Raw genomic sequence first — 15,403 nt, forward strand, 5'->3', positions numbered from 1 at the left:
TGAAACAGCGATCATTATTTAATATTTAAAAACTTCCAAAAACATAAAGTGAAAATAACCTAAATTTGTAAGGAAAGCATTCTTAACTGAAACGTTGAAAAACTAAAATTTCCTCAAACTTTAATCATTCCATAGCTATAAAGGCAGTATGTCTAAAAAGCCATTACTGGCATATTCTAAAGGTTCTCATAATCAAATCCTTCCTTTAGGGGAACAAGTAAACTATGATAAGAAAAGTTTTTTACTTTACATTTAGACTGGGGGTTTCTGATTGTCCTTTCTTTAAAAGTGTCTCAGCTTGGCGTTGTGGCTCATGTCTGTAATCCCAGCACTTTGGGAGGCTAAGAGGCAGATCGCTTGAGCCCAGGAGTTTGAGACCAGGCAGGGCAACAAACCCTGTCTCTACAAAACAAAATTCAATTAGCCAGGTGCAGTGTCATGCACCTGTAGTCCTAGCAACTCAGGAGGCTGAGGTGGGAGGATCTCTTGAGCCCAGGAGGCCGAGGCTGCAGTGAGCTGTGATCACACCACTACACTCCAGCCTGGGTGACAGAATGAGACCCTGTGAGAAAAGACAGTCAAGAAAGAAGAAAGAAAAAGAAAGAAGAAGGAAAGAAAGAGAAAGAAAAGGTGTCTCTATCATATAATCTATGAAAAGCTGCTCATAATTATCCAAAACACTACCCAGGCAATTCTCATTATCCACAGTAGTTATGGTCTATACAGTCACTAAAACCACTGAATTAGCAAATACTCAACCATTGTTCTTAGCGGAAAAACACAGTTACATTTTTATGAGCCTCTAGTCACAATATTTTCATCAGCAGATCAATTCCTAACTTTGTTTTAAGTATGCTTCTGTTTAAAGACACCTTATTTAATATATATTGTTGCTTCTCATGGCCAACAGCATTATTAACTCATGCCGAATGAAGCTTATCTAGCACCTGTATGCTCTCTGTAGGGTACATCCCAGGCTTCTGACACTTAGGAATGCTAGAAAGCATTCAATACTATGCTTGGGGGCCAACAGTGAAATCATACACACAAAAAAGGACAAAAATGCAAAAAACATGGCCATAAATAGACTGCAAAAGGACACGTTTTACAGTATGAAAGCTGAAACAAGAAGGCAGAGGATTGCCTTTTTGATCTCATTTGGGAACATGTGCATTGGGTGACTAAAATTTTTCACCACTCTGCACATTGCCTTGAATGACCTTGAAAGTGCTGTGGAATTACAAATGACTTTTGGAGTACAAATTAATTTTAGCACACAGGCGAATTTCCAAATACAGAACAAGCAAATAATGATCAACTATACCAAGAATACTAAGAGAAAACAATGTAGATTAGATTACAGTGAAATTCCTCCAACACTCTAAAAGCATTCCTTGGAAATAAAAAGAATCTTATTAATAACTAGAGGAACATGCCACTTCTGATCCTAATATTCATCTTGCTTTAAACAGACCAGGAGAACTGTTTCCTTTGTGGGAGGGGTGGGGGGAATACCATTTTTGACTTGAAATTGTACCATGGTATGTTGATTCATGAAATCACAAATTTTAAAACTCTAAAAACAAGTTTCATGGGAAACTAAGTAAATCATAGTAAAAGACACTAACATGCATGAGGTGATCTCAATATACTCTACACAATAGTATTTCAAGTGTACATACTTTATTATAGTGAGACATCAAAATTTATATAAACAAATTTAAAGACAAGAGTCAAGATGTGGGAAAACATGACTGATGACATAAATAAAACTGCCCATTCCCTTGATCTCAAACACACATATACACACACACACACACACAAACACACACACAGAGTCCTGTGTTCTAAATCACTGTGAGAATTATGTAATAATGGAAAACTAGACAAAAAAAAAGAAAAGGCAAGTCATAAAGAGGCATTACAAATGCTGAATAGAAGAAAAAGAATTTAAAAATGCTACCTCTCCTGTTGGTAAAGAATTACAGCAATGATAGCCAAGACATGGGAAAATAAATGGGCAGTCAACTCACTGATGTTAGCCCTCTACAAGTCCTTCAACTATTACTGAGGTAATTCAGCAATGCATGTGAAAACCTTAAAATGTGCATACATTTTGACCCTTACACTTCTAGGAATTTATCTTATATGAATAATCCCAGCTTTATGTAAAGTTATGAGAACAAGGAGGTTCATGGCATTATTTTAAATTTGTAACACCCTGAATATCAAATAACAGAGCACTAGGTTAAGTAAACTTGTATATCCATACAAGTAAATACCATTCCGCCACTGAAAATGTTATAGAGAACTGTACTAGGACAGGCAAAACACATAAAAAAAAGAAAGAAAGCAGACTATATAATATTGTCAATTATATGATATAAGTCTAGTTTTGTCAAAACTAGTGTGTGTATATATATATATTTTTTAAAAAGGTATATATAAATATATCTGTGTAATCTATTTTATAATTTTCTCTTTTGTTTGTCCTTATTTTAATAATTAGGAAAAGGGACTACTATTTATAAAATAACCTAAAATAAGGACAAAAGACTATTTAGCAAACTACTAAGTCGAGCCAATTTCTTAGGCAAGCCCATATGGACATGTTGCTCGTTTAGGAATGAGACCATCTTTCCTAATTCCTAATTCTCTGACAGTGGGTGGGGCAGCATGGAAAGAGGAAAAAAAGGATTCACAGTATCTGCAATCTCCTGAATCCATGGGGCACATCCCACCAGACTACATCTCACCTCTGCTATACAGGAAAGGAATCAGTCCAAAGGATTTCAGCCTTGTTCTTCTGAATGATTTTCCTAAGTTCACTACCCACATCTAATGATGCCTTTACCAGGCTTTATCTGAATTTTAAAGTAACATCTCAAAAATACTAATAGTACAACTTTCAGATGCCCTGCCACATAAGATTATTCTTAAGATGCAGAGATTCTTGACATTATTCCCGACCATTATTGATTGTCTTGCTGAGAAATGCACTGTTTTCTAATTGTTGCATTCAATGCTTCATTTTCTCTATGCAATAACATTAAGGAAAACAACAACCCTAACTCTTCTAATAATTATATATTTTTCCAAACTATATGGCATTATACTTTGATTCATGGTCCATTTCTCTTTAACACTCTACAAAGGCATCTACACAGAGGACTCGTAATCAATTCCGGAGCTTGCTGGGACTAACGACAAAATTTACTAAGCCCCAAATCTGTTAAATTATTCAAGTCACTTACCATAAAACAAAGTAGGTTGCATTAAAACCTGGATTTTGAAGACAGAGTAAAGAGTAAAAATCTTATTTTTGGCTTGTTTCTGAGGGTATGTCAGTGAGGAGCATGTAAATAGATTTTGAGTGTTCTATTAGGGATGGTTTGAAAATGTGGTAGCTAGCAGATACACCGATCATGTGGAAGACACAAAACCAAATGCAGTCACCAGGACCCACTTATTACTGAGAAGTATTGGCAGGTAAAATGGAACAAATGTGAGGTGGGCAAGGAGGGCCAGATATTCTTGGAAATTTTAATTAACTAGACATCAGGAAAAGATATGCAAAAATCAACATTTATGAATTCCTCACACTGGGAAAACTACTGCCGGGGGAAAAAAGAAAAGGGCCCAGAGTGGTAGATGGTTTTCCATCCTCTAGCTTATGCAGAGTGACTTCCCTAAATAAAGAGCTATTCTAAGTGGAAGTGGAGACTAAATGACCAGCTGATCAACACAAAATTAATCATTCTCCACAGACTAGACTATCAGGTCGACTACCACTAGAAAGAATGGCTGCCTGGAATTTTAATCTTTTCCACTCTATATGAAAAAAATACATATTTTCAAGCAAACCTGCAAGAATAGAAATGCAGGGTAGTCATTTCAAAAATAATGCTTGTGTTGTATAAAGTATTGAGCACTATATTCGAAAATAAATTCCTACAAGAGTTCTACTTCCCTACAAAGAAAACAGTCGCTTGCAGATAAGGTATTTCAGCAAACACATGTGGTGTGTAATGAAATGGGTTTTGCTTTGTTACAATAAATTAAAATGGACACCAGACCTGAAGAATCTCTGAGCAGACAAAGCCAGTTAGGCCTCATAAGTGATCTTAACTCTGCTTGATTTGCAGACATAAACAAAACTTGAGCTATTTCTTGTAAATGCCTATGTTACAGAAAAATGAAACTTAAGGCTAACCAATTGGAAGCAGAAAGTTCTAGTTATCTAACTTATGGTTACATAACTAGAACTTTCCAGGAGGATAGACCAAATAAGGCAACAGTATAACTGTAACCAATCCAGTATTTTCTTTGCTTTACTTTCGTGTTTGCCCTATAAAAGTCTTCCCTTCACATTCTTTTGATGGAGCCCTGGAAGCACTTTTGGTTTGGAGCTGCTCAATCCGTGAATCACTGGTTATTCAAATCAACTCCTGACAATTTTACGGCACCTCAGTTTAAGTTTAAACAGCTCTGTGCCTCAGTTATACGCATGTATCTGAAAGAAAACAGGATATTCTTCTTTGTACTTAAATAAACTCTAAATGTGCAATAATTTAAAAATATGAGACAGCACAAGTGAATCCTAAAATATATTAAAACGTAAGGCATTTGCATATACCTGATTCTGAAAATATGGCATGCAGTTTTACTTCTCTGGCTTCACATTCTAAAGTTTCTGAAACATATACCATAGAGCACAAAAAGAGCTGGCCTCTTCTCAAATTTATAACAAATTATATTTTGTTCTTCTTTCAAACATGAATTTAATCCTCCCTTTATTAACTGTTTCCTTGGTTGTCTGAGTAGAGAATCATTGTAAGCTGAGTCACTTACACCTTCCATCAATTTCAAAACAACACATGAAGTAACACTGATTATCACTGAACCTGTATCAGACACCTCCCATTTCTGAGATGTGCATTTATTCTAAATCTAAGTTTTGGAAGTGATAATGGAATGAAACACTCAGAAAATATAAAAAGCCAAAGTTTTCACTATGCTTTAGAAAGGTTTGCAAGTTGGTACTTAAAACAATGCTTTAAGGTATTATTTTCATGTCTATAGATGAGGTAATACAAGTTTACAGAGTATATTCAAATGGCTAATAAATACATGAAAAGGTGCTCAACCTCATTAGTCATGACAGAAAGGCCATAATGAGATAATGCCTCATACTTACCTGAATGACTAAAATTGAAAAGACTAACCAGTAGCAAAAGTAAAGTAAAAGATAACAAATGCAAAAGAGTATACAGTACATGATTCCAGTGATATTAAGTTTAAAAATAGGTAAAACAAATCTGTGATATTAGAAATTACCTTTGAGGGCCGAACACAGTGGCTACTGCCTGTAACCCAAGCACTTTGGGAGGCCCAGGCGGGAGGACCCCTTGAGATCAGGAGTTTGAGACCAGCCTGCGCAACAAGGTAAACCCATCTCTACTAAAAATACAAAAATTAGCCGGGCATGGTGGCAGACGCCTTTAGTCCCAGCTACTCAGGAGGCTAAGTCAGAAGAAAAAAAAAAAAAAAAGAGAGAAAAGAAAAGAAATTACCTGTGGAGAGAAAGCAGGGTAGGAAAATGATGGGGACTGCATGAGGAGGAGGCTTCCAGGATCCCTGTTATGTTTTATTTCTTTTTCTTTTACTTTTTTTTTTTTTTTTTTTCCAGACGAAGTCTCGCTCTTGTCTCCCAGGCTGGAGTGCAATGGCACAATCTCGGCTCACTGCAACCTCCGCCTCCTGCGTTCAAGCAATTCTCCTGCCTCAGCCTCCCAAGTAGCTGGAATTATAGGTGCCTGCAACCACGCCTGGCTAATTTTTGCATTTTAAGTAGAGACGGGGTTTTACCATTTTGGCCAGGCTGCTCTTGAAATCCCGACCTTCTGCCCACTTCGGCCTCCCAAAGTGCTGAGATTACAGGCATGAGCCACCGCATCCAGCCATGTTCTATTTCTTGATCTGGCTGGAGGTTAGATGATATGTTCACTTTGTAATAATTCATCAAGCTGTATACTTAAAATTTGTATACTGTTCTGTATGGAGATTATACTTTAATAAGTTTATTAAATTTTTTAAATGATACTGTCATATGAAATTATTTTCCCTCTAAATGAAAAGTGTGCGTGTGTGTCTCAATATGTGTAATAAAACAACCCTCTGAGGTAAGTACTGCTATTATTACCACTTTATAAACGAGGATACCAAGGCACACAGAAGTTAAATAGCATGCCCAAGGTCCCACAACCAGTAACTGGTAAAGACAAGACTGGAACCCAGGCAGTCTGGCATAAGAATCCCACTAAGAGTCCCTTCCATTCTTCAACTTGTCTTTGGTGCTTAGGTAGCACATTTCTTCCTAGATATTTCAAGGGCTTAGAAAATATGATTCAAAGTTGGATCTAAACCAGGAAGTACAATCAAATCCAATGAGGTGCCTTTACTAATGCCAATCGTGTACTTTTGCTTTTCAAAACTAGGCCTCCAGAGAGCAAAAGATTTGCTTATCTTTGGCCAACAGAGTTGGGGTCATGGAGAGATTCGTGCCAAGTGTCCTTTCCTTGTATTCACTTCACAAGATGTTTCGTGTAAGTGAACACTAGGTGTTTTGTGTAAGTGAACACAACATATTCCAGATGTTACATTTGCTACACCTTTGGAATTCTAAGTTCAGAATTAAAATACAAACCAGAGTATAATTTGGAAAACAAAAACCCAAGGTTAACATTCTATATAGTGCTTTTCTTTTAAATGTCTTTAAATTCTTAACAGAAAACCACAAAACCCTACTTCTATTTCCTATTTTATACATTTTTGCTCTTTATGATTTAAAGAATACTAATGCTTAGAATTCTTTAAATCAAAATGATGAAGACCACCAGCAGAACAAACTCTATTACTTTTCTCTCATCTCAAGCTCAGCTGGAAAATAAGAGAATTATAAAATATTTAATGATATACTTTATATGAATTCAGTTCAGTAAGTGAGTTTATCTTGAAAAAGACTCTTGTTTTATTCAGCTTGGTAGAGGAACTTCATTTCATATATATGATAAAATAATAAGAAACGTATTAGTTGTAGAGATACTTGTGTTAGGTCCAAGTGAAAATCAGCATTTGGGTTAACAGTCAAGCAAAATAACTAAAATTTTCAGCTCTATGACTGACATCATGAGTGGAAATATATGTCAACCTGTAATAATTTTATTGAATGACGTGTTTACTAAACAGAATTATCTTAGACACACTGCAAATAAGCAGTTGTAAATATCAGTTGATAAAAGTTTAACAAAAACTGGTGTTCTGTAATTTTGACTTTCTGTGTATTCAACTAACTAATCCTTACATCTAACAAGACAATTGACACCTTTGAAATAATTAGCTTTGGGCTCTCAGGAACCTCTACTTTTGGGCAGGTGGACACGAAATAATTACTGCCAAAACTACAGCCAGTTTGCTTGCAAAATCACATCAACTCATCTATACTATTTTTTAGGTTCTGTTCTCTAAATTTTGTGAAACGAAGCCAGGATTGAAAATACTCATTACATTTCTATGTTTTTTAACTGGTTTTGAAATTTCAAGATTTGGAAAAAGTACTGTGAGATGAGCTGTGCATTCATTTTCCTGATATAGCATGAGAAAAATAAAATAACTCCCACATACCTTTATCTACCCAAGATGACAGTTAATCTCAAAAAAAGTTGAAATAATCCAAGCATTTGAAAATGTTCCATAAAGTCAAAATTTTGGAAGAGAGTGGTTTTTTTAAAAGAAAAATGGCTCTGACAGTAATTTTTCCACTATCCCTCCCCATCCTACAGGTTTTACAAAATTAAAATTTGAGGTGAGCCACTAAGAAAAGCTATTTCAACGAAATCCAATGATTGTCCTGGTAGATTTCATCTCTCAGTGGCTCTCTATTATCCTTTGCACAGAGTTTCAGTAGACGCTAAAAGTTCAGTATTTTATTACAATCGTCTGTCCTCTGGGTACTGTGTGGTTCAAGCAGCTTAAGGAGCTGTGTGTCTCGGTATTTACAGATTTCAATTGGTTTGGGAATCTCTGGGAGGAAAATGATTCTTCCCTTAGAAAGCAGTAGGAAGAAAGAATAAGTGAATTAATACATGATTAGAGAGCCACTGATAGGTGTTTCTACCTAACCAATGAAAACAAAGTGCTTATGTAAGTGGAAACATTGTTCTTTTTGCGAATACCTTCCTTATGGCTGGCTGCCTTTGAACTTCAATAACTTGGCTATTCCTGAACGGCACTGGAGAACTGAAGATAAGTGCTAATAATACCTTGCCGTCTGTTTTGTGAGTCAGAAGAAAAGACAAGCAAAAACATAAGGCCACCAACTATGTAAGTCATGAGGAAAACAGACAAGTGTACTACCAATATAAGACAAAATTTTATGCATGCAAAACAAAACAGGCTATTGCCAGTATATTTATTAATGGGAAGCTTCCATATTTAGTTCAGACCACATTTCTTTTTTAAAAAATCTGGTATTATTTTCATTTATCATTCTCTTAGTAACAATTCAGATTTCCCACATCTTCAGATATTTTAGTAACCAACTCAATATATTAGATACTCTAACAATATTGAGACAATGATTCTCAAATAAAAGTTTAGGCCAATTGTGATGGCTCACGCCTGTAATCTCCAAGATCTGAGGGCCTGAGGTAGGAGGATCACTTGAGGTCACGAGTTTGAGACCAGCCTGAGCAACACAGCAAGACAAAAAATAAAAAAAAATTGGCCAGGCATGGTGGCATGCACCTGTAGTCCTAGCTACTCAAGAGGCTGTGCGAGGAGGATACCTTGGGCCCAGGAGATTGAGGCTACAGTGAACTATGATAACACCACAGCACTCCGGTCTGGGTGACAGAACGAGACCCTGTCTCTAAAAAAAAATAATCAAAAAATTAAAGAAAAAGTTTTATATCAAATTGTTGTGGCATATACGTACTTCACAGGCCTGTTAAAAGAATGAATGAAAACCGTGTACATTAGACTTTCAAAATATTTTGGTCTTTCTACATAACAAGCATCTACCTAAACCATGTTATAGTCAACTGAGTATCTACAGGTGAAACAAAGCATACTGATATTTAACTTCCTTACTAAACTAGCTGATTAAATATTAATTGAATGCCCACACTGCCCCTAGCATGGGTGTGGTAGCTACATTCTAGTTAGCTACCCTCAAGTTAAAAAGATGCACATGAAGCAGCAATAGTAACTATGAAACCAGGTACAGTTATTTGCTACTTAGTACATATGTTACAAACTAATGGTCAGAGATAAAAATTAGAAAGCATACAAAAGAAGGTGGGGCCATTATTTCCCAGTGATTTTTGATCCCATAACCCTAAAATTTTCCAATATATGGTAATACCTTCAGCATCTTTATGGAAGGAATCATAGTACTCTTCCCTCTAAATCATGTAAGCATAGGACCAGTCACTTCTGTGTAAATTACCCAAATAAAGTTCATGCCAACCAATGTTTCGACTGGCACACTGTATCTTTTTTATTTCCTTCCACCTCTCAGGACTGTACACACAACCTCTGAAATAAGATCCCAAGCCTTTTACCCAAAACGAGTTAAATCATCACGTATTCCAATGTGATATAAGACAGAAGTTGTGGGCTGGGCGCGGTGGCTCATGCCTGTAATTTCAGCACTTTTGGAGGCCTAGGCGGGCAGACCACGAGGTAGGGAGTTTGAGACCAGCCTGGCCAACATGAGAAACCCTGTCTCTATTAAAAATACAAAAGTTAGCTGGGCGTTGTGGCGTGTGACTGTAATCCCAGCTACTCAAGAGGCTGAGGAAGAAGAATCGCTTGAACCCAGGAGACGGAGGTTGCAGTGAGCCAAGATCGCGCCACTGTACTCCAGCCTGGGCAACGGAGTAAGACTCCGTCTCAAAAAAAAAAAAAAAAGATAGAAGTTGCATCTGGGGCTGCAGAGTACACATATTGACTTATCAACTCTCACCAGGAAGAACAAGTGAGCTCTTGACGGTGAGAAATTAAAACTGGCATATAATCTCCCTACAAAGAGAAAGGTTACCTTAGGATCAGCTGTGAGCAATTTGAATGCTTGATATACTTGAGCTTCCTTTACACCACCTCCAAGATCCAAGAAGTTGGCTGGCTTCCCACCATTAAGGAAAATGATATCACAAGTAGCCATGGCGAGCCCAGCACCATTCACTGTGAAATGCAAATGGGACACAAGACAGGCTACATTTAGCAACATGAAATGGTCCATAAACATTTTCCCTCCCCCATATTGCCAAGAGAGAACTCTGTCATTGCCAGGCCAATTTATATCCTGTTTGGAATTCCATTAAACCAGATTAGTTCATAGACTTTTAGGATAAAGAATCAGGACATGTATATGCAAACAATGAAACAAAAAAGACTTAGGAATGAGGAACAGGATGTATTGGGAAGTTAAATCAATCTGAAAAACAGAAAGAAGGAAAGGTTTAAGTAAGTAACCGATTTGGGCCAGTAGTAAAAAAGGAAGTTTTAGGTTCTGCAAAGTGTAAGCTTAAGAGAATCAGGAGGCAGAGAAACAAGCTATTGGAAGTTGCTAGGACCTATGAATTACATTCTTTTTAATATACTTTAAGAGACAGGAGTAAAGAATGGAATTCTCAATGTTTTGTTTGCTGAGAATATGGTCCTTTGAATGTGGCATCTGTGGGATTGAACCACAGGCTTCCCAACTTCAGTGGGATTTTATACTTTTTTACACTTAGTACAGTCATACATGTTTACATAATGTTACCTGGATAAACTTAGAAACAAATGAACAAATGACTGCACAAAAACAATATTCTTATCCCCTTGTTCCTCTTTCAAATTAATATAAGCAATGCTCACCAGCAACCCAACCGTTAAAACTGGAACCAAAATGTGCCAACATCTTAGGAGCCTTTCTTAAGAAAGTAGGTAGAGAGTTTTAATATCAAAAGTCTTGTTTTCCAGAGCTAAGTTTTATTGATCAATTGCACTTATTTTGCTTCTTAAGCTTAATTATATAAAATTACTTTCCTTGAGAGAGAAAAAAAAAACTCCAGAACACAGCAGAAACTCACAAGGTAAAGTACCTTTCATTTTTCTGACCCTCCAATTCCCTAGAAAAGCCTATGACTGTGACTAATTAAATTTGGAGTAACTAAAATAAAAATGGTTTACACAGAATCTTAAAACAATTTGAAATGTGTAAATCATAGATTTTGAGGCTGCTATGTGGTCAAACCATGCACATTCCTACAGAGGCTATAAATAATCTGTATTTAATTTGGTTTAAACCCATATACCTTTCCCCTTTCTAAATGCCTACAAATATTGAGAGTGCATTAGCTTATCAGGATCAGAATGATGTGAGTGATCTGGTACATTATAGTTATTGCTCCAATACAAAGCAAGAGCTTTTGGTATCACTTGTAATTGGATGTCATTTTCTATTGTATTGAACAGCCACCTCTTGGATGAGGTCTCTTCAGTTCTGAATACAATGATATTGCTGGTTTAATGAGCTACAAATCATTTTTATTTTAATTCCATTAAGATTAAGACCTCAGTTTCCAGTACAATGAATTGATTCTACCAGAAACACAGTCTTGTGCAATTAAGTCAGAAGCATATAAATCTGAGCACTATAAGCTGTGAACAATAATAGAAACTGTATTGCTTCTACAGACATTCTTATCTCAGCTGAAGAAGCCATTTTCACAAATTTAGATGAGTGTGATAAAATCAATTGTTTTATTAATAAACTAGCATAATGGATTAAACATTTCATCCTTTGGTTATCACAGAACCTGAAACTTTAGCAACGTGATTAAAGTGTATGTCCTCTTCTATTTCCTCTGATAAAGGAATTTTGTTTTAAACCTAAATTTCAGAAGAGTTCTGCATATTAATACTGAGTTGAGCAGCAAAGGTTCTAATTTTTTACTAAGCAAAGTTTAACTGAGATGTTTTAAGTCAATATTTCTCAGTTGGGGTGATTTTTGCATACCACAGCCATTTGGAACTGTCTGAAGACATTTATTTTAATTTATTGATTTACATGGGTTTATTTGTCTTCACAAGTGGGGGTTGTTAGTAGTATCTAGAGGTTAGGATGCTAAACATCTTATGATGTACAGGACAGTAAAGAATTATCCCACCCAAACTCCCAATAGTGCCAGAGTTGAGAAATTCTGCTTTACACCAGTGACCATTAATCAAAACAACTTTGAGAAGAAACTTGGATACTTTCCTAAGACTTTTCAGCTACAAAAAAACTTATGTGCTTACTTCTTCTTGGTAAGTGACATTTCAGAAATCAAGGTTTCCTAAATTCTATAAGAATCCACAAAGCATTCTTTTGATATAACTGCTTCTTACCAAAGCAGGCAATGTTCCCATCTAGTCCTATGTATTTTAGATCATATTTGGCAGCTTCATTTTCAATGGGCTCATTCTCTGATTTGTCGTCCATAGCAAATATGTCTTTTTGTCGGAATTCTGCGTTGTCATCAAAGTTTATCTTGGCATCAAAACAGACAACTAAATAAAGAAGAAAACAATCATACTTGAATATCTCTTGAGGATCTATAAATTAAGTTCTTCAGGCTGGTAGGCACAAGCGAAGGGAAAGTTAAGTACTGTCATTTTTTTTCACATGTTACAGGCAGGAGAGGCTGCTTTGGCTTTCTTGACCTTTAAATTTTAGGGTTTGGTCCCTGTTGTCAAGGGACTTACGTTCTAGTAAAGAACATAGTAATTTCTACCTGTTGTTCTCATTTCAATAGAATAACCCCAAAAGTTGCCATCAACCATTAAAAGTTACAGACTGGCACAGCTTCATAGATACAGCTTTGATTCATTATTTTTATTATATATTTTTAGTATTTAACCACTAATTATCACCTTTCTCTTCTATGTAAAGAGAGACTAGACAATATTATTAATTATTTTGTCCCCTATTGTCCTTTTCTTGATATGGTAAAGTGAAATTTTTATTGAATCAGTATCCTGTCTAGTATTTCCAAAAGATTTAGTGGAAAGAATGCCAGACTAGAATCGCTCGATTTTTATTTGATCCTTAACTAACTCTGTAACATTTATTAAAAATAAAAATTGTATACACTTGAGTCTTGAACAACATGGGTTTGAACTGTGAGGGTCCACTTATAGCTGGATTTTTATTCTCAAGATGTAAAGCCCCAGAGGGTCGACTTTTCACATACATGGGTTCTGCAAGGCCAACTGCAGGAATTGTGCAATATGAACGAAGTTTGGTATATCTGAGATTCCTGGAACCGATTCCCTGCATATATTGAGGGACAACTGTGTATTTAAAGCATACAACATCATGTTTTGATATACATATAACACAGTGAAATAATTAAACACAGTGAAATGATTACTACACTGAAGCAAATTAACACATCCATCTTCTCATATAGTTTTTGGTTTTTCTTTTTGGTGTGGGAGAGCACTTAAAATATATACTTTTAGCAATTTCCAGCATACATTACTAACTCTGTAACCTTGATAAAATAACCTAGTTCTTCTCTGGGCCTTGGTTTTTTAATTGGAAAAAATGGCAATAACAATCCTTAAAACAAGGGCCATGCCCTTGATTCGTGCAGGACCATCTTATGGTGCTTCAGATTCAAGTTATAAGACACGAAAAGACCAAGACTGGTCAGTCACAAAGCCAGGATGCCAGGCATTATTAGCACAATTGTCTCTAGTTTCTGGAGCTGGTGGAAATCTCCTGGACCCAGCAAAACTCATTCCATAATAGGAGACAGACTACAGGGCACTTTCCTTGATTTACAGATCTCCTATACATACAATCAGGGAGAGACTGCAGTGGAGAGGGTGGCATTATTGGTATCTGGGTATCTGACCCCTTTTATTATCTCTCTTAGTGTAGAAATTAGTGTTCTGTGATGCCATGTCATCATAATGTTTGTTTGTTTGTTTATTTATTTATTTATTTATTTATTTCGGAGACAGAGTCTCACTCTGCTGCCCAGGCTGGAGTGCAGTGGCGCAATCTCGGCTCACTATAACCTCCACCTCCCAGGTTCAAGCGATTCTCCTGCCTCAGTCTCCCAAGCAGCTGGGACTACAGGCATGTGCCACCATGCCCAGGTAATTTTTTGTATTTTTAGTACAGATGGGGTTTCACCGTGTTAGCCAGGATGGTCTCGATCTCCTGACCTTGTGATCTGCCCACCTCAGCCTCCCAAAGTGCTGGGATTACAGGTGTGAGCCACTGCACCTGGCCAATGTTCTTTTACTTAACTTGGGATATTGATAGCCAGGAATCTTTGAACAATAATTTACAGATACTACCTATTCTCCTCCAGCATTGCTGACAGGCACCTGACTCTTGAAAGGGAAACAGCCACAGAACATTTCTCACTCACTGAAAAGCAGTGGCTATAATCTCCTAATTATACTTGCTTCTTATGAAAATAAAACATGGCTGTATATGGCATCTTGGCGTTAGAGACCCCAGGTAGAGGGTTTTCTCCAAGGGTTTCCCTACCACAATATTCAAGCACTTTGATACAAATCTGTGTAGACCAGCATATTAACATCTAAGAATACTTGTTATAAGTATATATATAGACCGCACATGACTTAAAGTAGCACTGAGCGACAAGAGAGAATCTTATATGGAAGTTAATGTCTGCTTAAATCCTTAGTCTTGCCCCAAAATGCCCAACCACTTTGTCCACACATTGTGAATGGTTGGAGTGAATGAGTAATTACTTTCCAAAATATTGAAAGCTTATTGACAGAATCCTACAATTACCAAACGAATTGGCCAATGTTCTCTGCTTGCTACAGGGGAATTTTCTCAGCAGTTAATGACTGGTATAATAATCAATAAAAAAGCAACTTCGTACATGGCTTTCCACTAGGTTTATAAATGCATTCTAATTAATTTATTAGTAATTTTAGCTCCTCCATTACTCATTGGCAAGACTACTTATAACTGACACCTTCAAAATGAATGGGCTAAGGTTATCAAATTGACTTCCTAAGGGAAGAGTTTCAAATAAAGGAATTCTTGGTTGAGATCAATAAACAAGTAAATCAAAATAGTTTCAAGCTGACCTTTGCTCCTTACAAAGACTACAGTTACAAGCTGCTTCAGAGAGAGAATAATTAATGGGTATGTATTCAAAGTTCAAAAGGCAATCCCAACTAAATGCCTGCAAAGCTAGATTTTCAGAGGATGTTTTTCTGTGGTATGACGTTCTCTCCAGGGAACAATCTTGACAGAACTTTGCAGTTAACCCAGAGCTTCAAGATGGTGACTATGGGATAAAAGGGGTGTATATCT

General features: G+C 36.5%; 1 protein-coding gene across 6 annotated transcripts in view; it reads right to left on the reverse strand.

Annotated features, from left to right (window-relative positions):
• The window catches only part of SUCLG2 (succinate-CoA ligase GDP-forming subunit beta), a 294,153-nt gene that overhangs the window by 125,236 nt on the left and 153,514 nt on the right, over positions 1–15,403 (reverse strand). For all 6 annotated transcript variants that reach the window (XR_007095763.1, XR_001740350.3, NM_001177599.2 and 3 more), the window contains exons 8-9: positions 12,439–12,600; positions 10,103–10,245 (exon numbers count right to left, since the gene is read on the reverse strand). Coding sequence is in view for 4 of the 6 variants with exons in the window: in NM_001177599.2 (NP_001171070.1) it covers positions 10,103–10,245; positions 12,439–12,600 (305 nt within the window). In the remaining 2 variants the exon portion in view is untranslated. The remainder of the gene's footprint in view (positions 1–10,102; positions 10,246–12,438; positions 12,601–15,403) is intronic.

This window comes from Homo sapiens, chromosome 3, assembly GCF_000001405.40.
Source record: "Homo sapiens chromosome 3, GRCh38.p14 Primary Assembly".
Lineage (NCBI taxonomy): Eukaryota > Metazoa > Chordata > Mammalia > Primates > Hominidae > Homo > Homo sapiens.